The sequence below is a fragment of the Homo sapiens genome, chromosome 17 (genome assembly GCF_000001405.40).
Source record: "Homo sapiens chromosome 17, GRCh38.p14 Primary Assembly".
Lineage (NCBI taxonomy): Eukaryota > Metazoa > Chordata > Mammalia > Primates > Hominidae > Homo > Homo sapiens.
Window position 1 is genome coordinate 18,910,911 of NC_000017.11, and position 24,922 is coordinate 18,935,832.

The 24,922-nt window shown below is 45.3% G+C and overlaps 1 protein-coding gene across 20 annotated transcripts in view, besides 3 other annotated features; it reads left to right on the plus strand.

Moving 5' to 3' along the window:
• Positions 1 to 20,377, plus strand: part of PRPSAP2 (phosphoribosyl pyrophosphate synthetase associated protein 2) — a 74,989-nt gene extending 54,612 nt beyond the window's left edge. For 17 of the 20 annotated variants that reach the window (NM_001243942.1, XM_047436415.1, NM_001353106.2 and 14 more), the window contains 4 exons: positions 193 to 341; positions 13,004 to 13,074; positions 17,901 to 18,047; positions 19,630 to 20,377. In NM_001243942.1, the coding sequence (NP_001230871.1) occupies positions 193 to 341; positions 13,004 to 13,074; positions 17,901 to 18,047; positions 19,630 to 19,788 (526 nt within the window). In that variant the 3' untranslated portion in view covers positions 19,789 to 20,377. Of the gene's footprint in view, positions 1 to 192; positions 342 to 7,379; positions 7,478 to 13,003; positions 13,075 to 17,900; positions 18,048 to 19,629 lie in introns of those variants that run through there. The other 3 variants (NM_001243940.1, XM_047436417.1, XM_047436416.1) reach the window with 3 other exon arrangements.
• Positions 11,286 to 11,365: an enhancer, noted in NCBI's record as "active region_11844". NCBI's record gives its function as "activates an Ori minimal core promoter by ATAC-STARR-seq in GM12878 lymphoblastoid cells {active_cell/tissue: GM12878}" and the evidence as "EXISTENCE:reporter gene assay evidence [ECO:0000049][PMID:35858748]".
• Positions 17,947 to 18,096: an enhancer, noted in NCBI's record as "active region_11845". NCBI's record gives its function as "activates an Ori minimal core promoter by ATAC-STARR-seq in GM12878 lymphoblastoid cells {active_cell/tissue: GM12878}" and the evidence as "EXISTENCE:reporter gene assay evidence [ECO:0000049][PMID:35858748]".
• Positions 22,655 to 22,854: an enhancer, noted in NCBI's record as "active region_11846". NCBI's record gives its function as "activates an Ori minimal core promoter by ATAC-STARR-seq in GM12878 lymphoblastoid cells {active_cell/tissue: GM12878}" and the evidence as "EXISTENCE:reporter gene assay evidence [ECO:0000049][PMID:35858748]".

Below are 24,922 nucleotides of genomic sequence, written 5' to 3' on the forward strand. Positions count from 1 at the left end.
GAAGTGTTTGGCATGTGGGGTCTCTACAGTTAGTCCTGGTTTCTAAGAGTCTAAGGCTGTTTTATTCTCTCTTTTCTTTAGTCCTTTGGGAGACAACATTCTACTTATGTTCTCTTAATGTTTTGTCCCCTAGGCATTAGCAGAACCAAGGGCTGCATGAGTTTTGAGCTTGTGTCTGGTGTTTTCCCTCAGGGCACAGTCTTTTGCTGAGCGCCTGCGCCTGGGAATTGCAGTGATTCATGGAGAGGCGCAGGATGCCGAGTCGGACTTGGTGGATGGACGGCATTCCCCACCCATGGTCAGAAGTGTGGCTGCCATCCACCCCAGCCTGGAGATCCCCAGTAAGTGTGCTGCTGCCTCTTTCCCACTTTCCTCTGATTTTAAGGCTGACTACACTGTTGTCTGTGTGGTTTTTTTCCTCATTCTTCGTTTTTTTTTAGTTGGCAAAAACTCATTAACACCTTTCTTGGCCAGATAGTAGCGAATGCATTTCTGATTACCTTGTAAATTGTAAGGCCGTTTAGAAGCAGTCTGTCCTTCTTTGCAAGACCTGTGAAAATGTTTGGACTATTGAGACAGTTGCAATGCTTCAGGGAAGTCCATTCATTCATTCAGCAGTATATACTAGAGTGTAGTTTAACATAAGCAAAAAGCTTTTTATATACAAAGTTATTGACTGTGATGTTGTTTTTAATGCAAAATATTAGAAAGGTTTAAATGGTTTACCAGAGTGTAGGGCTTGGTAAATTATACTGTGTCAGTACAGCTAATTATGCAGCCCTTTGAAATAATCAAGACTATCTGGAAACGAGAAAAATATATGGAATATATATGAACAAGGCAGAATATAAGATTGTATACCTATTTGTCTTAGTTCAGGCTGCTGTGATGAAATACCTTAGACTGGGTAATATAAACAACAAATTTATTGCTCACAGTTCTAGAGGCTGTGAAGGTCAAGATAAAGGCGCCAGCACTGACCCCGTGATGGGCCGGGCACGGTGGCTCACGCCTGTAATCCCAACACTTTGGGAGGCCGAGGCGGGTGAATCACCTGAGGTCAGGAGTTCGAGACCAGCCTGATCCACATGGAGAAACCCCCTCTCTACTAAAAATACAAAATTAGCCAAGTGTGGTGGCGTATGCCTGTAATCCCAGCTCCTTGGGAGGCTGAGGCAGGAGAATCGCTTGAACCCGGGAGACAGAGGTTGTGGTGAGCCGAGATCGCGCCATTGCACTCCAGCCTGGGCAACAAGAGTGAAACTCCTTCTCAGAAAAAAAAAAAGATAAAGGCGCCAGCAGATTTGGTGTCTGTCGAGGGCCTGTTCCTCGTAGATGGTACCTTCTTGCTGCATCCTCATGTGGTGGAGAAAGGTGGAAGACTCCCTCAAGCCTCTCTGACAAGGGCACTGACCCCCTTCGTAGAGCAGAGTCCTAACAAACTAGTCACCTAAAAGCCCTACCTCTTAATACCACCACAGTGGGTTCCAGCATGAATTTGGAAGGACACAAAAATTCAGACCATAGCATTTTGCCCCGGCCCCTCAAAATTCATGTTCATCTTACGTGCAAAATACATTCATTCTATCCTAATAGCCCCCAAAATGTTAACTCCGGGTAAGTCTTAACTTAATTTCAGCATCACCTCAAAAGTCTGAAGTCCAAAGTCCCATCTAAATATCATCTAAATCAAATATGGGTAAGACTCCAGCTCTGGGATTCACTCTGACGCACGTTTCTCTCCGGCTGTGAGCCTGTGAAATCAAACAGGTTGTATGCTTCCAAAATGCAATGGTGGGACAGACATTGGATAGACATTCCCATTCCAAAAAGGAGAAGTGAGGCCCAGTGTGGTGGTTCACGCTTGTAGTCCCAGCGTTTTGGGTAGCCAAGGTGGGAGGGTTGCTTGAGGCCAGGAGTTCGAGACCAAAAGGGAGAAGTAGGAAGAAAGAAAGGAGTGACAGGTCCTGACCAAGTCTAAAACCCAACCAGACAAACAACATTAAATCTTAAGGCTTAAGTTGACTCAAAGCCCCGCCTTCCACAAAAACTGGGGCAGGGGTTGGTCTTGCAAAGCTCTGGATGGCCCCACTCCCACAGCTTTGCTGGGAGCAGCCCATGCAGCAGCTCTCAGTCACTGGATTCTCATGCCTGCATCTCTCAGGCTGGAGTTGCACTCTAGTGGTTCTACCAGTCTTGGGTCTTGGGGTGGTCTTGCCCCACAACTCCACTGGGCATTGCCCTAGTGGGGTCTCTCTGGTGGCCCTGCCCTTGTGACAGTTCTCTGCTTGGGCCCTGGCACTCTTTGGGGCATCCTTTGAAGTCTGGGTAGAGGTAGATGTGCCCCCACAGCTCATTCACTCTGTGCACTGTGGAGATGGCCCTGCACGGACACCACTGTGGTTTGTTGCCTGTGCCTTCCAGAGGGGTGGCCCGAGCTATAGTTGGACCTGCTTGAGCTATAGCTGGAGTGGGTAAGGAGTATTCTGGAATGTGGGAAGTGGAGCCTTGAAATCGTTCTGCCCCCAAGACCCTGGCATTCTAGGCTTATGATGAGATGGGCAGTCACAAAGATCTCAGAAATGCCTTTGGGGTCATTGAGTCACTGTCTTGATGAATAGCGTCTGGTTCTTTTTTTTTTTTTTTTTTTTTTTTTGAGACAAGGTCTCACTCTGTCACCCAGGCTGGAGTGCAGTTGTGCGATCATGGCTCATTGCAGTCTCACCTCCTGGGCCCAAGCAGTCCTCCCACTTCAGCCTCATGAGTAGATGGAACTACAAGCACTTGCCACCGCACCTGGCTAATTTTTGTATTTTTTGTAGAGACAAAGTTTTACCATGTTGCCCAGGCTGGTCTTGAACTCCTGAGCTCAAGTGATCCACCCGCCTTAACCTCCCAAAGTGCTTACAGGTGTGAGCCACCACTCCTGGCCGTCTGGCTTCTTTCTATCCATACTAATCTCCTTATCAAATGTTTGCTTGGTGGCTGGGCGCGGCGGCTCACACCTATAATCCCAGCACTTTGGGAGGCCGAGGCAGGTGGATCACGAGGTCAGGAGATCAAGACCAGCCTGGCCAACATGATGAAACCCCGTCTCTACAAAAAATACAAAAATTAGCTGGGCATGGTGGTGCGTGCCTTAAATCCCAACTACTCGGGAGGCTAAGGCAGGAGAATCACTTGAACCAGGGAGTTGGAGGTTGCAGTGAGCTGAGATCCAAGACTGTGCCACCGTACTCCAGCATGGCAACAGAGTGAGACACCATCTCAAAAAAAAAAAGAAAAAAGAAAAGTTTGCTTGGCTACACACTTGGAGTTCTGTCCTGAACATGTTTTTGCTTTTTTTTTTTTTTTTTTTTTTTTTTGAGACAGAGTCTTGATCTGTCTTCCAGGCTGGAGTACAGTGGTGCGATCAGATCTCACTGCAGCCTCCACCTCCCGGGCCCAAGCCATTCTCCTACCTCAGCCTCCCAAGTAGCTGGGACTATAGATGTGTGCACCAGGCCTGGCTAATTTTTTTTTTTTTTTTGGTAGAGACGGGGTCTTGCTTTGTTGCCTAGGTTGGTCACAAACTCTTGGGCTCAAGCAATCCTCCCTCCTTGGCCTCCCAAACTCTTGGGCTTATAGGCCTGAGCCATTGCATCCAGCCTTGCTTTTACATTCTTTACAAGATGGCCAGGCTGATAATTTTCCAAATATTTAAGTTCTACCTCCCCTTTGATGATAAATCTCATCTTTAATTCATCTTCTTGGATTTTAGTATAAGCAGTCAAGAGCAGCCATGCACCCTCTTTTGCCAAAGATTCTATTTCACTGCCCTTTTTTTTTTTTTGAGATGGAGTCTCACTCTGTCACCCAGGCTGGAATGCAGTGGTGCAATCTCGGCTCACTGCAACCTCCAGCTCCCGGGTTCAAGCAATTCTCATGCCTCGGCCTCCTGAGTAGCTAGCACTACAGGTGCACACCACCACACCTGGCTCATTTTTGTATTTTTAATAGAGATGGCATTCCACCATGTTGGCCAGGTTGGTCTCAAAACTCCTGAACTCAAGTGGTCCGCCTGCCTCAGCCTCCCAAAGTGCTGGGGTTACAGACATGAACCACTGCACCCGACCTTTTTTTTTTTTTTTTTGAGACAGTGTTTTACTCTCTTGCTCAGGCTGGAGTGCAGTGGTGTGATCACAGCTCACAGCAGCCTTGACCTCCTGGGCTCAATCGATCCTCCCACCTCAGCCTCCCAAATAGCTGGGACTGCAGGCATGTGCCACCATGTCTGGCTAATTTTTGTATTTTATGTAGAGATGGAGTTTTGCCATGTTGCCCAGGTTGGTTTTGAACTCTTGGGCTCAAAGCGATCCTTCCACCTCAGCCTCCCAAAGTGCTGAAATTACAGGTGTGAGCCACCATGACCAGCCTACTGTCTGTTTTTCTACTAGCATTGTGATCATGACCACTTAGATCATTTCTAAGAAGATTGAGGCTTTCTTTACAGCTGTTTTCTTCTGAGCCTGTCTTAGTCTGTTTTGTGTTGCTATAACAGACTATATAAGACTGGGTATTCTATAAAGAAGACACTTTATTTAGCTCACAGTTCTTCGGGCTGGTAAGTTAAAGAGCATAGCATCACATCTGGCAGTTTCTGGTGAGGGCCACACACTAGGTTGAAACATGGTGGAGAAGAAAAGTGAGCAGGCGGGTGCAGAGAAATCACATGGCAAGAGAGGAAACGAGAGAGCCTGGGAAGCCAAACTCATTTTTATAACAACCTGTTCTCATGGGAACTAAGTGCCCTGAGAGCAAGAACTCACTCACCCCCATAGGAAGGCATTAATCCATTCATGAAGGATCTGCCTCTGTGACCCAAACATCTCCCACTAGGCCCCACCTCTCAATAGCGCACACTGGGGATCAATTTTTTTTTTTTTTTGAGACGGAGTCTTGCTCTGTCGCCCAGGCTGGAGTGCAGTGGTACGATTTTGGCTCACTGCAAGCTCCACCTCCTGGGTTCAAGCAGTTCTCCTGCCTCAGCCTCCCGAGTAGCTGGGACTACAGGTGCATGCCACCACACCCGGCTAATTTTTTGTATTTTAGTAGAGATGGGGTTTCACCTTGTTGCCCAGGCTGGTTGAACTCCTGAGCTCAGGCAATCTGCCTACCTCGGCCTCCCAAAGTGCTGGGATTACAGGCGTGAGCCACTGCGCCTGGCCCAAATTTTTAACATAAGTTTTAGTGGAGACAAACTACATCCAAACCAAAGCAGAACTCTCACCAGAGCTCCCCTTTACGGTCTGTACATAGCAATACAGTCTTTTTCTAGCCTTTTCCTCTTCCAGCCTCTGCCCATTACCCAGTTCCAAAGCCACTCCTGCATTGGTGGGTATTTAATACAGCAGCAACTCACTTCTCAGTACCAATTTCTGTCTTAGTTTGTTAAGGCTACTATAACAAAATACCTTAGACTTGGTATTTTTTTTTTTTTTTTGAGACGGAATTTCGCTCTTGTTGCCCAGGCTGGAGTGCAATGACACGATCTTGGCTCACCGCAACTTCCACCTCCACCTCCCGGGTTCAAGCGATTCTCCTGCCTCAGCCTCCTGAGTAGCTGGGATTACAGGCGCGCACCACCACGACTGGCTAATTTTTGTATTTTTAGTAGAGACAGAGTTTCTCCATGATGGTCAGGCTGGTCGCGAACCCCTGACTTCAGGTGATCCGTCCACCTCAGCCTCCCAAAGTACTGGAATTACAGGCATGAGCCACTGCACCCGGCCAGACTGGGTAATTTATAAACAACAGAAATTCATTGCTCACAGTTCTGGAGACTGGGAAGTCCTGGATCAAGGCACCAGCAGATTGGTGTCTGATGAGGGCTCACTCTGCTCCTGAGGTGGCACCTTGTTACTGTGTCCTCAGATGGTGGAAGGAGCAAGGCAGCTCTCTGTAAGGGCACTAATCCTGTTCATGAAGGCAGAGGCCTTGAGCCTTAATCATTTCCCAAAGGCCCCACTGTTAATACTATCACATTGGGTATTAAGTTCCAACATAGCATTTTGAGAGGACACCATCTTCAGACCACAGCACTCTCTTTGTCTATGCAAAGACCAGGAGGAAATAGGAAGAATGAATGTAGTTGGGTTGGGGTGGTAGAGTTATGCATGAATTTGTTTTTGTGTTTAAGAAACTTCCCCATGCCTTAATAACATCTTCTTAATTAAAAAAAAAAATGCCACCTTCGAGTTGTTGGGGAAGAACCCTAACCCCCTGCCCTCATAGATTCAGTGTTTGGTGGCATATGGACTAAACTGGCAAAAGACAGATGAGGAAGAGGAAAGGCAGTTTAATCACATACATACAGATGTGTGTGATTAAACTCTTTTGTGAGTCACAAAAATGTGACTCGAAGTGGTTACAATTTGGGGCTTATATAGCATCTTAATAGGGGAACAGGAGGGGCAGAAAAGGCCCCTGTGGGAAAACAGATGACTTCTTTTTTTTTTTTTTTGAAACGCTCTTTTGCCCAGCCTGGAGTGCAGTGGTGCAATCATGGCACACTGCAACCTCGGCCTCCCAGGTTCAGGCGATTCTCCTGGGTAGCTGGGACTACCGGTACATGCCACCATGCCCAGGTAATTTTGGTATTATTATTATTATTATTATTATTATTATTATTATTATTTTTTTTTTTTTTTTTTTTTTTTTTTTTTTTTTTAGTAGAGACAGGGTTTCGCCATGTTGGCCAGGCTGGCCTCGAACTGACTGCAAGTGATTCGCCCGCCTCGGCCTCCCAATGTGCTGGGATTACAGGCGCCCGGCCAAGATGACTCCTTAATAGGGGAAGAGGAGGAGGGAGGGGACTGATGGGAAGTGGGCGCTGAGGAGAAAAGATGGGAGAGAGGCTAGTTTTTGACAGCGTCTGTTTAGGTGTGGTCTGGACTTCTTCTGGTCTTAAGCGATAAGAGTCAGTCTTCCCTGGTGTTCCCAGGGAGGAGATTTATCACAGTTGAGTTCTTTGGAGTTATTTTGTGAGGCTCTGCTTTTCAGCATATAAGGGACTTCAGGAACTCAAATGCTTTCAGCTCAAAATAATTTTTAGGTCACAGAGGTATATTCTGGACTGTTAGGTTTTTGCCTTGCCCAGGAGTTTGCTCATTTATAAATAGAGGGAAAAAAAAACCAGAGAAGGAACTAGTGTGGTTGGGATAGCCATGCACGCAGCTGGGATTCCAGCTATACTTTGTAGATCCCAACTGAGGTGGAAAGGGAAGGCCATCTGGGCAGGGGTTAAATCTCCTAAGGGGTGGGGGACTGAGCTTGAGTTTGCATCTGGCTCCATCACTTATCAGCTGTGTGTTCTTGGGCCTGTTGTTTTTCTGAAAAAGAGCGACAGCAAGAGGCCATCCTCAGAGTGGACCCATGATAGGCCAAGATGGTGGAAAGCCCAGGACGAGCCCTCAGGACCCAGCACTGCCTGCCTTATGTGAGTGAGATAGGACTGCAGTGGTGAGACGTTCAGTGATGGGCCATGGTGTGGCCAGGAAGACACTAGCCTGACTACCAGGAGGCCCCTGGAGGGAAGAGATGGACTAAGATAGCAGTATCTGCGGGGAGCCAACCAAGGAGGACTTTGAATACCAGTAAATACACTCGTGTCCTAGAAGGCAGCCCACAAAGGCTCTCGATCCGGGCCATTTAGTGTTCAGCAGGCCAGGCCTGCATCTGTGTTTGGGATAGGGCTGCAAGTGCAGAGGCCAGATCCGGGAGGCTGATGAAGTTGAGCAGGCACATGGGAGGAGAGCTTGATCTCTTGGGCTATGCTGTCCAGTCGGGTGGCCACTGGCTACATGTGGCTCCTGCACACTGGGAACGGGGTGGGGAGCAGTGGGAGTGTGAAGGACACACCCCTAATCTGAAAACTTTAATGTAAGTATCTCATTAGTGAAGTTTTATTGACTCTGTGTTAAAATGGTAATATTTTGATATGTTGAATCAAATCAAACATGTTATTAAAATTAATTTTACCTTTTTTTGTGCTTTTGTAATGTGGCTACTAGAAAATCTGAAATTGCATATGTGGCTTTCATTTCTGTTGTGCGTTATTGCTCTAGGGGTTGGTAACAATGGGAATGAAAGTGACAGAGCACATTGAGAAATGTTAAAAAGACGATGGGAGGGAGGCCAGGTACTTTGGCGCACTCCTTTAATCCCAGCACTGTGGAAGGCTAAGGTGGAAGGTTTGCTTGAGCCCAGGAGTTTGAGACCAGCCTGGGCAACATAGCACAACCCCGTTTCTACAAAAAGTTTAAAAATTAGCCAGGCGGCTGGGCGCAGTGGCTCACACCTGTAATCCCAGCACTTTGGGAGGCCGAGGTGGGTGGATCATGAGGTCAGGAGTTCAAGATCAAACTGACCAAGATGGCGAAACGCTGTCTCTACTAAAAAATATAAAAATTAGCCAGGTGTGGTGGTTCGTGCCTGTAATCGCAGCTACTCAGGAGGCTGAGGCAGGAGAATCACTTGAACCCAGGAGGCAGAGGTTGCAGTGAGCTGAGATTGTGCCACTGCACTCCAGCCTGGGCAACACAGTGAGACTACCTCTCAAAAAAAAAAAAATTAGCCAGGCATGGTGGTGTGCCTGTAATCCCAGCTACTTGAGAGTGAGGTGAAAGGATCACTTGAACCCAGGAAGTCGAGGCTGCAGTGAGCCATGATGGTGCCACTGCACTCCAGCCTGTGTGACAGAGTGAGACCCTGTCTCTAAAAAAGATAGCAGGAGGGAATGAACATTTTTAGTGTATTAGTCTCCAGTACAGCCCTTTTAATTGAGTGATGATTTTCCACTTTATAGATAAACAGGATCAGAAAGAGAAAGCGACTTCCCTGCAGTCACATAGTGACAAGCTGGACATGTCTGACTAAAACCTGTGCTTTTTCCACTGTGTTCTTGGGTCTCTTGGACTTAGTAATGGGGATTTAAGGAGGAGGAAGGCAGTGAGATAGAGCCAGGGTTCAGGATTTGGGGCTGGGAGGGTGTTAATAAAGCGTTTGGCTCAGGACCTCAAAGCCTTTTGCTTGTGTGTGCATTTCTCACAGCCTCACGTGCCCAGGCTGTTGGTGCTGGGGGGTAGGCCTGGGGCTGCCGCTCCCTTTCAGAATCCTTGCCTGGCCTCAGAGGGGCTTGTGTCTAGGAACCTCAGCAGAACCCTGCAAGGGCTGGCTGGGACCATTGGTGAGATGAGCCATGCCCGGGAGCATGGAAGAATATATGTTCCTCTTCAGTCCTGTAAGCACATGGGCTGTGATGAGGAACGCGTTGGCAGTCTTTAGATGAACGCTGCTTCTTTGGAACTTGCTGGGTGTTAGCTTTTGGTGTGGCCTTTGGGAGTGGACTCTGGACTGCAGACACTGAACTACAGGTTTCCCATCTGGAAATGAGTTCATAGGACTGGATGATCTCTATGTTCTTTCTAATATTTCTTTACTCGTGGGATCTTTATGTTTCATTCATAATTTTAATTATAATGTTTCTATGTTTATGTTTTGACTCAAGTAGTGATCACTACAGGCCGTCTTTGGGAATGCAGTAGAATTTTAGTTTCATAGATCCTAAATATTTGATTGTTTTTATACATTTGATGATTGGACACCCTACATAGAATACTTTTTTAAGGTACTAGCAAATAATATATGAAGGGAAAAGAAAGCATTCTTCCTGTAGCATCTCGAATATAAAGATTTTGTTATTTAGTATTAGATTTTAAAAATTATTTTGTATCCTCTGATTTCTTATAGATGAAAATATGCCTACTAAAAAACAATGAAAATACTTTTTCAGAATATAAGCACTATATATAATATTTGAAAATATTATCCATAAAAGTTAGAAGAAAATAATAATTAGTGCTTGATGCCACTATTCAAAGACACACCACTTTAATTTGGTGAGCCTCTTTTTGGTTTTTCACCCTTATTTTCATAAAGCTGCGATGCATGCTTCATACATAATTGTGCATGTTGCTGCCTCCTTCTCCCAGCTGCCCGACGTGTCATCTCAGGTCACCAGAAACTTTGACAGGAAACAGCAATTTCTTTTTTTTTTCTTTGAGACTGGGTCTCACTTTGTCACCCAGGCTGGAGTGCAGTGACAATCACGGCTCACTGCAACCTTGACCTCCCAGGCTCAAGCGATTTGTCCACCTCAGCCTCTTGTAAACAGCATTTTTATGGCTAATAACCCATCGTATGAATGTGGCTTAGACTGCCCAACCACAGCCTAATTTGGGGTTTTTATGTTTTCTTCTGTTCTTTGCCCTTATAATGTGGCAGGAAATATATGTGGATAAAACACTTTTCCCATACTTTGGCTTATTTCATTTCAAGCTTCTAAAAGTGAGATTAATGAGTCAGAAGGTATGAATATAAGGCTTTTTGTCAAATTGATTTCCTAGAGGGTGATTCATTATACTTTTTCACCGGCATTGAGGTCAAGTGTCCTGGGAGTAGGACTGTTGAAAATGTAAAAAGTCACTTCAGTTCTGGAATTTATCTTGCTTTGCTTTGTTTTGTTACACTTTTTTGCCCTCTCCTGATGCTCACCTGGGGTCACACATTGCCTCTGGTTGTCATATGTCTTTCATCTCTTTCAATCTAGAGCAGTGGTTCTCAATTAGGGAGTGGATATTGTCTCCTAGAGGTCATTTGGAAATGTCTGGAGATAGTTTTGATTGTCAGAATCAAGGGGGTGGCTACTGGCATCTAGTGAGTAGAGGCCAAACATGCTGCTAAACTTCTCACAGTACGTAGGGTGGTCCCTTGCAGCATAAACGTGTCTGGCCCAAGATCTCAGCAGTTGAAAAGTCCCAATCTAGAACAGTATTTTAACTTTTTCTTTTTGTGACATTGCCTTAAAAGAAAATTGAAGTCAAAGTCACATAACATAGAATTAACCATTTTAAAGTATAAAATTTACTGGCTTTCAGTATATTCACAGTTTTGTGCAGTTACCATTTCTTTCTAGTTTCAAAACTTCTCATTACCCCGGAAGAACACCCTGCACCCATTAAGTAGTTTCACCATGCCCCCATCCCCCAGCCCCTGGCAACCACTTACCTCTTTTCTGTTTCTGTGGATGTTTGCCTAATCTGGACACTTCATATAAACGGAATCATATAATATGTGGGCTTTTGTATCTGGCTTCTTTCTTTGAGCATGTTTTTGAGGTTCATCCATGTGATAGCACTTGTCAGTACTTCATTGCTTTTGGTGGCTGGATAATATTTCATTGTCAGCATTTGAAAGGAATTTGGGTTGTTTCCACTTTTGGCTATGCTGCTCTGTATATTCATGTATGAGTTTTCTGTGTGGATAGATGATTCATTTCTCATGGTCTATACCTGGTATCGGAATTGCTGCGTCACTTGGTGTATGTTTAACTTTTTGAGGAACTGCCAGACTCTTTTTTCACAGCAGCTGCACCATTTTATATTCCTACCAGTAATGTACAAAGATTTCAGTTTCTCCACATCCTCATCAACACTTATTTTCTACTTTTTATTGTAGCCAGCCCAGTGGGCATAAAGTGGCATCTCATTGTGATTTTGATAAACATTTCCCTAATGGCTAATGACTTCATTTGTATATCTTCTTTGGAGAAATATCTGTTGAAATCCTTTGCCCATTTTTGAACTAGGTTTGTCTTTTTTTGTTGAATTATAAAAGTTCTTTATATATTTTGGCATATGGCGCATATATATATATATAATTTTTTTTTTTTTTTTTTTTTTTGCGACAGGGCCTCACTCTCTCACCCAGGCTGGAGTGCAGTGGTGCAATCGTGGCTCACTGGAGCCTTGACCTCCCGGGCCCAAGTGATCCTCTCACCTCAGCCCCCTAAGTAGCTGTGACTACTGTCATGCACCACCACGCCCTGCTAATTTTTGTATTTTTTTATAGAGACAGGGTTTCGCCATGTTGCTCAGGCTGGTCTCAAACTCCTGAACTCAGGCAGGCAATCTGTCCACCTCGGCCTCCCAAAGTACTGGGATTACAGGCATGAGCCACCATGCCCAGCCTACTTTATATATTTTGGATACTAGACTCTTACCAGATACATGATATGCAAATATTTTCTGCCATTCTGTAGGGGTTTTTTTTACTTTTTTATTTTTATCTATTTATTTATTTTTATTTATTTATTTTTTGAGACAGAGTCTCGCTCTGTCACCCAGGCTAGAGTGCAGTGGCATGATCTCGGCTCACTGCAAGCTCCACATCTCAGGTTCACGCCATTCTCCTGCCTCAGCCTCCCAAGTAGCTGGGACTACAGGCGCCCACTAGCACACTTGGCTAATTTTTTTTTTTTTTTTTTTTTTTGTATTTTTAGTAGAGACAGGGTTTCACCATGTTAGCCAGGAAGGTCCCGATCTCCTGACCTCGTGATCCGCCCGCCTCAGCCTCCCAAAGGGCTGGGATTACAGGCGTGAGCCACCACGCCTGGCGTGGAATTGCTTTCTCAATTCCCTCTTTTGATTGTTCAGTGCTGCTGTGTAGCAGCTGATTTTGTGTGTTGATTTTGTACTTGGCAACTTGGCTGAATTCATATATTATTAGCTTTGGTAGGTGGATTTGTGGATTCTTGGGTATTTTCAATATGTAGGAACATGTCATCTGCTAATAGAGATAGTTTTACTTTTCCTTTCTGATCTGGATGCCTTTCATTTCGTTTTCTTGTCTAATTACCCTTGCTAGAGTATCCAGTATGATGGTGAATGGCAGTGGTGCAGTGGGCATCCTTGTCTTGTTGCTGATCTTAGGGGAAAGCTTTTGGCCTTCGGCCATAAAGTATCAAGTTAGCTGTGGGTTTTTGTAGTTGCCCTTAATCAGATTGAGGAAATTCCCTTGTATTCCTAGTTGGTTGAATGTTTTTATCTTGAGATATTAACTTCTTTAAAGTTTTGTTTTACTTTTTAATATAAAAATTTTGGTGTGTGTGTTTTATTCCAACCAGTGCTGATTCCTAAAGAAAAGCCCCCAATCACGGTTGTGGGTGATGTTGGAGGAAGGATTGCCATCATCGTGGTATGTAGACCTCTTTTATTATTAATTCTAGTATTTGCCATTGTTATTCTGTTGATTGATTGATTGATTGATTTTATTACAGAGACTCACTGTCGCCCAGGCTGGAGTGCAGTGGCACAATCTCGGCTCACTGCAACTTCTGCCTCCCAGGTTCAAACGATTCTCCTGCCTCAGCCTCCCAAGTAGCTGGAATTACAGGTGCCTGCTACCACGCCTGGCTAATTTTTGTATTTTTAGTAGAGATGGGGTTTCACCATGTTGGCCAGGCTGGTCTCAAGCTCCTGAACTTAAGTGATCCACCTGCCTCGGCCTCCCAAAGTGTTGGGATTACAGGCGTGAGCCACTGCACCTGGCCAATTTATTTGTTAATTCTGGGCATATAAAGGCCTAAGGATAGTAGTATGGCCAGATAATTCTTATTAAATTTGTGCCTTGTGCTAAATGTTTGCTTTGGCCCAGAAATTGGAAAATGCTATTGTTTATTTTAAAATTGCTCACTACTGGCTGGGCGCGTTGGCTCATGCCTGTAATCCCAGCACTTTGGGACGCCAAGGCAGGCCAATCGCTTGGGCTCAGGAGTTCAAGACCAGCTTGGACAACATGGTGAAACCCTGTCTCTACAAAAAATACAAAAATTAGCTGAACTTGGTGGCACATACCTGCAGTCCCAGCTACTTGAGAGGCTGAGGCGGGAGGATCACTTGAGCCTGGGGCTCAGAGGTTGCAGTGAGCCGAGATCATGCCACTGCACTCCAGCCTGGGTGACAGGGTGAGGCTGTGTCTCAAAAAAAAAAAAAAAAAAAGTCATCCTGTCATAACATGAGATATTGTTCTGTGATCAAAGTAAAGTACAAGCTGGGCACAGTGGCTCATGCCTATAATCCCAGCACTTTGGGAGGCCAAGGCAGGCAGATCACCTGAGGTCAGGAGTTGAAGACCAGCCTGGCCAACATGGTGAAACCCCATCTCTACTGAAAATACAAAAATTAGCTGGACATGTTGGCGCACACCTGTAATCCCAGCTACTTGGGAGGCTGATCTTGGAGAATCGCTTGAATCTGGGAGGCGGAGGTTGCAGTGAGCCAAGATTGTGCCACTGCACTCTAGCCTGGGCGAAAGAGTGAGATTCCATCTCAAAAGAAAAAAAAAAAGTAAACTACAAAGTTGATTATAACTGTTTGAAACATGCATCCTTTCACACATCATAAGACCAGTGCACAAAAAGAGTGCACTTCATGCCTGTATATTTTAAAGAATAGAATGAACACTGGGTACCCGCTAGCTCACTTGAGGCATAGATCATCACCAGGTACCTAGAGGCCTCCTCTGGGCTTACCCTGGTCTCTTTGCCTCAGAGGTTGTCACTGATGTGAAAGCTGCCCATCTTGATCCTGTAGTCAGCCATGAGGGCTTGTGGCCTTAAATGCTGCCTTTTTTTCTTGTCTTTGATGTTTATGTAAATGATGTCTTTGTGTACTTTGGGACTTTCTTGCTCAACACTGTTATTGAAATTTACCTGTGTAGTGGCAGGAAGTTGTACTTCATTCTTTTTCACTGCTATGTGTTGTGTCTTTGGTATAACTGCTACACAACTGATTGAGGCAATGGTACTGCTTTGAACATCCTCGTGCCTATTTTCTGGTGCAAAAGTGTGAGAGTTTCAAGGTGCCTGGGAGTGGGGTTGTTGGGTCTGAAGGTATGCACATTTTTAACTTTACAAGGTGCTGCCAAATTGTTTCCAAAGTGGTCACACCCATTTCCCAAGTTCCATAGTGGGTGCCCCACATTATCCCCAGTGCTTGATAATTTTGTACGCACCCTTTTCAGGTTAGAAAATCTCTCTGGGGCCGGGCACGGTGGCTCACTTCTGTAATCCCAGCACTTTGGGAGGCCGAGACGGGTGTAGGTCAGGAGATCGAGACCATCCTGGCTAACACGGTGAAACCTTGTCTCTACTAAAAATACAAAAAATTAGCCGGGCGTAGTGGTGGGCTCCTGTAGTCCCAGCTACTCGGGAGGCTGAGGCAGGAGATGGCATGAGAGGCGGAGCTTGCAGTGAGCCGAGATCGTGCCACTGCACTCCAGCCCAGGCGACTGAGCAAGACTCTGTCTCAAAAAAAAAATAAGAAAATCTCTCACGTCACCCTCCAGGGTAATAGCTGTCCATTACTTATTCCTTAGTTGGCAAAGTCTATAGTAACAAGGTGCTGTGGATTCAGTAGCACCTTTCCCCCCGTTCTAGTGCCACTGCATTATTTATTTATTTATTTATTTATTTATTTATTTCTATTTTTTTTTTTGAGACAAAGTCTCGCTCTGTCACCCAGGCTGGAGTGCAGTGGCGTGATCTCAGCTCACTGCAACCTCCACCTCCTGGGTTCCAGCAATTCTCCTGCCTCAGCCTCCCAAGTAGCTGGGACTACAGGTGCACGCCACCACGTCCGGCTAATTTTTGTATTTTTTTTGTAGAGACGGGGTTTCACCATATTCACCAGGCTGGTTTCGAACTCCTGACCTCGTGATCTGCCCGCCTTGGCCTCCCAAAGTGCTGGGATTACAGGCGCAAGCCACTGCACCCAGCCGCCAGTGCATTTTTTAAAAAAACGTTTTTATTTTGAAGTAATTATAGATCCACAGGAAGTAGGGGGCAATACACAGGGACATCCTGTGTATTCATTACCCAGCATCCTCCATCTTGCTTAACTATAGTACAATAACACAGACTGAAAATTCTCGGTGCCACAGCCACAGAGGTCCTTCAGACAGCACCAGTTGTGCATGTAGTGAGTGTGAGTGTGTGTGTGTGTGTGTGTGTGTGTTTGTGTTTGTGAATGCAGTCTTACCATGGGTAGCTTTGTGGAACCACCACCACAGTCAGGACACAGAATTGCTCCTTCACTGCAAGGCACCCTCATGCTTCCTTTCATAGCTACACTGACATCCTTCCCACCCAATCTGCAACCCCTTGTGTCTTTGTCCACTTTGTGCTGCTGTAACACCTGAGACTAGGTTGTTTATAAAGAATAGAAGAAATTTATTCTCTAACAGCTCTAGAGGCTGTAAGTCCAAATCATGGCACCAGCATTTGGTCTGGTGAGGGCCTTCTTGCTGTGTCCTCACATGGCATAAGGCAGAAGGACAAAAAGGAATGAACTTTCCTTCAGAAGGCCAGGAAAGAGGTTAACCCACTCCCACAAGCCTTTTTATAGCGACATGAATTCATTCCTGATGGTGGATCCCTCACAACCTAAACACTTTCCCAAAGACCCCACCACCCAACACTGTTGCACTGGGGAATAAGTTTCCAACACATGAATTTTGGAGGGACAAAAACATTCAAGCCACAGCACTGGCAACCACTGATCTGTCCCCTGTCTTTCTAATTATTATTTCAAGAATGTCATATAAATGGAATCTATGGTATATAACCTTTTGAGTTTTGTTTAACCTACCATGATTCCCCTGAGATCCATCCAGGTTGTTTTGTATATTAATATGTTATTCCTTTTTATTGCTGGGCAGTATCCCATGGTATAGAGGTACCAGAGTTTATTTGTTGAAGGACATTTGGATGATTTCCAGGTTGGGGCTATTATACATAAAACTCGCTATGTACATTCATGTATAGGTTTTTGTGTGAACAGAGTTTTAATTTCTCTGGGATAATTGCACTTACAAATGCAGTTGTTGGTTTGCATGGTAGTTGCAGATATACTCTTATAAGAGACTGTCAAACTGTTTTCCAAAGTGGCTGTACCATTTTACTAGTAGGACTTTTAAAGTAGCGTGTGTGTGTGTGTATGTATTTTTTTTGAGGTATGGTCTGGGTCTGCTGCCCAGGTTGGAGTGCAGTGGCTTGATCACAGATCACTGCAACTTCTACCTCCTGGCTAAAGCAATCCTCCTGCCTCAGCCTCCCAAGTAGCTAGGACTACAGGTGCGTACCTCCATGCATGGCTAATTTTTGCTTTTCTGTTTTTGTAGAGACTGGGTTTCGTCATGTTGCTCAGGCTGGTCTTGAACCCCTGAGCTCAAGCAATCCTCCCACCTCAGCCTCCCAAAGTGCTGGGACTACAGGCATGAGCCACCACGCCTGGCCTTTATATGTATATTTTTGATCATAGTAACATCAGTATGCAATTAAAGAGTAATAATATGTATGTAAAATAAAGACACGAATATTTATTCAACTCTAGACAACGTTTGATGCCATAATGGGTTTAAAATAACTCTGGGAGCCTGGGAATCTAGTCTCTAGATTGGAAACCACTGAACTGGGTATTTTATTATTAAAAACAATAATCATTATTATTTTTTCCATTGTAATAACATGTAAAAAAACATATTTCCCATATGCTCAGTGGAGAAAATTTGGAAATAAGGAAAGTAGCAAGAAGAAGTGGGGGGAAAGAGGCACCCATAATTCTATTACCCAGAGTCAAAAACATCTTTTAACACTTTTTCTGTGCATTAAAAACAAAAAAAGAAAATTATACCTCCATCATTTCTGGTGTGACCTGCATTGTGACAGCACAATGTTGGCCAGTTATGGTGCAGAAAACAGTGCTACCCCTGGGAGCCTGGAGTGTGGTGGGAGATAGCTCCAATAGTGGCAGGTGCTGTGCAGGAAGAGGCTCGTGTGAAAGTACTGGAGGGCTGCCATGGGGCACGGTGATGGGGACATGGGGCCATGCCGTCTGCACAAGGCCAAGTGGAAGAGCAGATTTTTCACGGTAAATGTAGGCAGACCCTTTTTTTTTCCTGGTTGTCTAACCTATTATTGTAGAAGTGCTCATATACATTCTTTTCCATCTGTGCTTTGGCAGGATGACATCATTGATGATGTTGACAGCTTTCTTGCTGCAGCAGAGACCCTGAAGGAAAGAGGTGCATATAAGATCTTTGTGATGGCAACTCATGGCTTGTTGTCTTCTGACGCCCCCCGGCGGATTGAAGAGTCTGCCATTGATGAGGTAACAGGGTCTGGGTGTGTGTGGGTACAGCTGCCTGGGCTTTTGGCACATCTTGATCTTTAGTTACAGAGAGTCAGGACAAGACTGAGATCTTTTGTGGCTGAGAAACGATTCAAGGGCTGGGTGCAGTGGTTCACGCCTGTAATCCCAGCACTTTGGGAGGCCGAGGCAGGTGGATTACCTGAGGTCAGGAGTTGGAGACCAGCCTGGCCAACAGGGTGAAACCCCGTCTCTACTAAAAATACAAAAATTAGCCGGGCGTGGTGGCACACACCTGTAATCCCAGCTACTTGGGAGGCTGAGGCAAGAGAATCACTGGAACCCAGAGGGCAGTGGCTGCAGTGAGCCGAGATTGTGCCACTGCATTCCAGCCTGGGTGACAGAATGAGACTCTTGTCTCAAATAATAATAATAATAATAATAATAATAATAATGTGTACAACTCATTGGTTTTTAGAATGTTCAGAGTTGTGCAGTCATTACCATAGTTGGTTTTAGAACATTTTCTTCTTCCTAGAAAGGAACCCCATACCCATTAGCTGTCACTTCACATTTTCTCTCACTGCCATTAGTCCCTGGGAACCACTAATCTGCTTTCTGTCTCTCTAGATTTGCCTGTTCTGGACATTTCATATAAATGAGATTATACAATGTGTGGTCTTTTGTGTCTGGCTGTCTTCACTCAACATAATATTTTCAAGGTTCATCCATGTTGGAGCATGAATCAATACTTCATTTTATGATCAAATAATGCTGTGTTACATGGATAGTCCACATTTTGTCTCTCTCTTCGTATTTCATGTTGATAGAAAAAATTTTTTTTCTACTTTTTAACTTATGAATGGTGCTGCAGTAAACATTTGTGTACAAGTTTTTGTGTGGACATGTGTTTTCTCTTCTCTTGGATACGTACCTAGGTTTAGAACTGCCAGGTCATACAGTAACTTCATGTTTAAACTTTCAAGGAGCTGCCAGACTGTTTTTCAAAGCAGCTGCGCCATTTTACATTCCCACAGCCGTGAGTTGGGGGGGGGCTCCAGTTTCTCTGCATCCCTCCAGTACTTGTTATTATCTTTTTTGCCATACCTATCCTAGTGGGTGTGAGGTTATCAAATCTTAACCTAAGAAACACAGGCTGGGCGCGGTGGCTCACGCCTGTAATCCCAGCACTTTGGGAGGCCGAGGCCGGTGGATCATGAGGTCAGGAGGTCGAGACCATCCTGGCTAACGCGGTGAAACCCCGTCTCTACTAAAAATACAAAAAAATTACTTGAGCGTGGTGGCGGGCGCCTGTCGTCCCAGCTTACTTGGGAGGCTGAAGCAGGAGAATGGCATGAACCCAGGAGGCAGAGCTTGCAGTGAGCTGAGATGGCATCACTGCACTCCAGGCTGAGCGACAGAGCAAGACTCCGTCTAAAAATAAATAAATAAATAAATAATTGAAACATTGACTTGAGACATAGATCCACTGTGTTTTCCTGTCGTGGCAAGCCTCAGATTTGAGAAGCTGTCACATTTCCAGATCAAACCATGAAGCTACTTGGCTTTCTGATGCTGTGGTTTTTTTTCTTTTGCTTCACAGGTGGTGGTCACCAATACAATTCCACATGAAGTCCAGAAGCTCCAGTGCCCCAAGATTAAAACTGTGGATATCAGCATGATCCTTTCAGAGGCGATCCGTCGGATCCACAATGGGGAGTCCATGTCCTACCTTTTCAGAAACATAGGCTTAGATGACTGAGTTTTCCTTTAGGAAAACTCCCGAGGGCCAAACTGGAAACATAAGAGTGACTGCTCGGTGGGATGGATTTCACAGGAACCGTCATGCTTGTTCCTCCCTCTCCCCTGTAACCTCACTTCTTATTGATTCCTAAGAAGATAGACCAACTTTTTATGTCGGTTTGGGTGTTTGTGAGTTTGGGGAGCAATTTTTATAAAAGAAAAACTTTATTCTCCTCTTTTGAAAAGGTAAGACCTCGTTTTAGTTGTAACTGTTTAAAAAATAACACTTGGAATAAGATTTGTAAGCTCACAAAGCCTTCTTCCAAAGTTGCTTGAGCCAAGTGCTTAAAAAGTTAATAAAATAAAATGATCTGTATGATACCTGCAATTGAAAAGCCGAAAAGATTATACTGTCAAGTCCAGTAAATGACATTTTTAGAGATGCTTTTGTAGACAAGCATATGGAATATGTGATTGTATTTATTTTCTGCAACTAAAAAAGGAATAAAAACTTGTGTTTGTGTGTTTTTCTAAAACTTTGTGTTTTGGCAATCGTTTTATAACTAAAATAAAATGAAAGCTAAATCTACACGCTGTGAATGTTGAAATGTTCATCAGCTTGTTTTCTCTTCTGCAGCTTTGTGGGGGATGCAGTAGCCTCTCAGAGATGTGATATCCTCTGTTCTGACAATTTGTCCAAGGCCCTGAAAGTTCCCGATGTGTAGTCATTTGATTGAGGAGGGGGAGGAGCTGGAATCTCAGCATGCAAGGCCACAGGCAGCAGAGAAGCCAGTGGTCACCATCTGCCATTGGTCTTGGTGTGGCTTTGCCTCTCTTCCGTGGCTGGCTGTTCTCCATCATGCTCTAGGGAGATGAGATGCTGGGGGATGCATCCCAAAGGGCAAGTGACATGACCCTTGTTGCTGTCAAGGGTCTAATATCATCTGTCTTTTTTTTTTTTTTTTTTTTTTTTTTGAGACGGAGTCTCGCTCTGTCGCCCAGGCTGGAGTGCAGTGGCAGGATCTCGGCTCACTGCAAGCTCCGCCTCCCGGGTTCACGCCATTCTCCTGCCTCAGCCTCCCAAGTAGCTGGGACTACAGGCGCCCGCCACTACGCCCGGCTAATTTTTTGTATTTTTAGTAGAGACGGGGTTTCACCGTTTTAGCCGGGATGGTCTCAATCTCCTGACCTCGTGATCCGCCCGCCTCGGCCTCCCAAAGTGCTGGGATTACAGGCGTGAGCCACTGCGCCCGGCCTCATCTGTCTTTAGAGTTTAGGACCCTGAGCTTCCCCAGAGTCCATTGGAGTGGCCTCCCCTGGAGCACTGGCACTGGGGTTTACACACCCCTGTCCTCCCACTCAGCCTGACTTATGGAGGAATATGTAGACTTGCTCATAAAAACTAATTTTTCTTCCTCCCCAAACACCTTAAACCTTTGCTTTCTGCTTGTCTGTGTTAGAATCTGGAATAAAATAGTTTATTTAGCACAAAATTAGGATCAGTCACCAGCCACGCTGGCCTTCTCTGTGCTCCACAGAGAGCAGCGTGGCCCGAGGGCTTGCCCCAGTAGGCCAGGGCCTTGTTTGTGCAGAAGCACCAAGGGCTCTGCTTCTGGAAGCTGCCCAAGTGTTCCGTGGGCTCTTGCACACTCAGCAGTGCCACCCCTCACACCTAGTTTACTTGAGGAAACAGCTTTGAGGGAAAGGTGTTCATTCTCTCCCCAAGTTTCCAAATCCAGTTAATGATAGAGCTATTTACTTTGAAGAAGTGTCCTTGCTTTCTGTGAACCTGTCCCTAGAAATGGGGCCTCTCGATCTTCGGAATGAATTGGCTTAGGGCATGGGATGGTAGCTGGTGGCTTCTTTGCCAGTGCAGCTCTGTCAGTTGCAGGCTGGAGACCACCCAGTTTCCACATTTGGAAGAAGAGCTTTGGGAGCAAGGTGTCACCACCCATGAGAGTGGAGCCTGCCTGTGGTGCCAGGACCTCCCACTGTTGCTGTGAAATGAGCTGAAGAGGCTTCAGTAAATCTCACAGCTCCAGCCTCTGATGGGTTTGGGTTTTTTCTTACCTTCTGCCGTTTGGATGCTGCCTAACCATTTGCTACTATAGATGACGGTTGAAGTTGCCATGTGGTTTGGCTTTATAACAAGTGACAGGCACTTCCTGAACAGCCATGGGGCATCCCCTGGGGTGGCTGTGCTGGCACAGTGGCCCTCCCATGGTTTGGGAATGGTGGTGCTGCACTAGCACGGAGGACAGGTTCTGCTCTGGGTTCCTTGGAGATGCAGTGGGCTCTCAAGCTCCTTCAGTGGGAGGTTTCCTCCTGCCACTGTGTCCAGTGAGCTTTGACCTCTGGTTTTTCTTGGCATGTCATCCTTCATGAAGAAAAGTCATATTTACAGAAGTGAATGGAAACATGTTTTATGGGAGTGTTTTCCTCTGGGTAATGAACTTGGCTAAAGCTAGGATCCTTCACACCCACAGAGACTCGAAGGTCTGCCCTGAGTTGGCTCTGGAAGAACATGAAGATGAGTGCTGGGAGGAGCCACGGGTGGGGCATGTGCCAGGGGATGGCTGACAGGGCTGAGGCCCAGGAAAGACAACTGGCAGATGATGGTGGAGGAGAGTGGAGTGCCACGTCCTGGCCCGCCGGGCTGGGGCAGGAGGATGGAAGCCTTCAAGGGGCAAGTCAGGTTCTGTGGTGTGGTGGGGAGTGCTGGGGGACTCTCAGGGCTTCAGGAGTGCCCAGTAAGGACACCCAAACCCCTCAGCCATCCTCTTCCCTGTCTAGAGGAGGCCCCAGATACAGTTTCTCCGTGTGTTGTAGGCTTTTCTTTGGCCAGAGAAGCCATTTACCCTCTAGACTACTGTCTTTGCTAGAGACAGAGACAATCTCTGTGGCCAGAGATAATGGGGAAGTGAACCCAGAAATTCTATGACAGAAAACAGGCTGATCGTTTCCAGTTCTGACTGTGACGTCATCACTTGACAGACTCGTGGTTAAAGCAATGCTCTCGAGGCATCAAGAACACAGGATGCCACTAAAGGGCATGAGTGGATGGACACATACCAGTTCCACCACACTGTGTGCCAGGGACATTAATCTTTTGGCTCTCACTGTTTATTACCTCTAAGGCTGAGGAGGGAGGATCGCTTGAACCTGGGAGATGGAGGTTGCAGTGAGCCGAGATCGTGCCACTGCACTCCAACCTGGGCAACAGAGCAAGACCCCATCTCAAAAAAAAGTTGTAGAATTCAACACCTACTTTTAACAGATCAACCAGACAAAAGATCAATAAGGAAAGAGATCACACCGCTGTACTCCATGCTGGTGACAGAGTGAGACTCTATCTCAAGAAAAAAAAGTCTGAAATGCTAAATTTTATGTTGTATGTATTGTGTACTTTATAAAACATTGTTGGAAGAAATTAAAGAAGAGCTAAATAGGAAGACATCCCACGATCACAGGTTGGAAGTCTTAATATCGTTAAGATGCAATACTCCAAAGCAACCTACAGATTCAGTGTGAATATCTATCAAAATCCCAATGGCATTTTTTAGCAGCTATAGAAAAGCCCATCCTAAAATTCATATGCAATCACCAAGGGCCTCAAATAGCCAAATCAGTCTTGAAAAAGAACAAAGTTTGAGGACTTGCACTTCTTGATTTCAGAACTTAACTACAAAGCTATACCAATCAAAAACAGTGTAGTTCTGGCATAAGGAGAGGCATATAAGCCAATGAAGTAGAATCAAGAGTTCAGAAATAAATACTATAGTCAATTGATTTTCAACAAAGGTGCCAAGATCTCAGCAGGAAAAAGAACGGTGATTTTGGGGGGTTCTTTTTCATTTTTTGTTTTGTTTTGAGACAGAGTCTCACTCTGTTGCCCAGGCTGTAGTGCAGTGGCGCGATCTTGACTCACTGGCACTATCTCGGCTCACTGCAACCTCTGCCTCCCGGGTTCAAGCAATTCTTGTACCTCAGCCTTCCGAGTAGCTGGGACTACAGGCATGCACCACCACGCCTGGCTAATTTTTGTATTTTTAGTAAAGACGGGGTTTTGCCATGTTGGCCAGGCTGGTCTCGAAATCCTGACCTCAAGTGATCCACCCCGCTCAGCCTCCCAAAGTGCAGGAATTACAGGTGTGAGCCACTGCATCCAGCCAAGAATGGTGTTTTTAACAAATGGTACTAGGACAACTAAAAATCCATACACAAAGAATGAAGGGCTAAAACTATAAAACTTTTAGAATAAAACACAGGGATAAATCTTCATGACCTTCGGGTTGGCAAAGGATTCTTAGATATGACACCAAAAGCACAAGCAACAAAATAAATAATAGATAACTGGATTTCATCAAATTAAAACTTTTGGGCACCAAAGGACACTATCAAGATAGTGTAAAGACAATCTAAAAGTAGAAGAAAATATTTTCAAATTATATATCTGATAAAGGTCTTATTCAGGATATATAAATGTACAATTCTACAACAAACAGATAAAAAACCAATTTATTTTTTGAGACAAGTTTTGGCTCTGTCACCCAGGCTGGAGTGCAGTGGCATGATCTAAGTTCACTGCAGTCTCGACCTCCTGGGTTCAAGCAATCCTCTTACCTCAGCGTCCTGAGGAGCTGGGACTACAGGCATGTGCCACCATGCCCAGCTAATTTTTTGTATTTTTTGTAGTAATGGGGTTTCACCATGTTGCCCAGGCTGGTCTTGAACTCATGAGCTCAAGCAATCTGCCCACTTCAGCTTCCCAAAGTGCTGGGATTACAGGTGTAAGCCACTGCACCTGGCCAAAAAAAAAATACATATATATATATATGTTTGTTTTTTTTTTGAGACAGAGTCTCGCTCTGTTGCCCAGGCTGGAGTGCATTGGCGTGATCTTGGCTCACTGCAACCTCTGCCTCCTGGGTTCAAGCGATTCTGCTGCCTCAGCCCCCTGAGTAGCTAGGATTACAGGCATGCACTACCACGCCCAGCCAATTTTTGTATTTTTAGTAGAGACGGGGTTTCACCATGTTGGTCAGGCTGGTCTCGAACTCCTGACCTTGTGATCTGCCTGCCTCGGCCTCCCAAAGTGCTGGGATTACAGGAGTGAGCCACCGCGCCTGGCCCAAAAACATGTTTTAAATGGG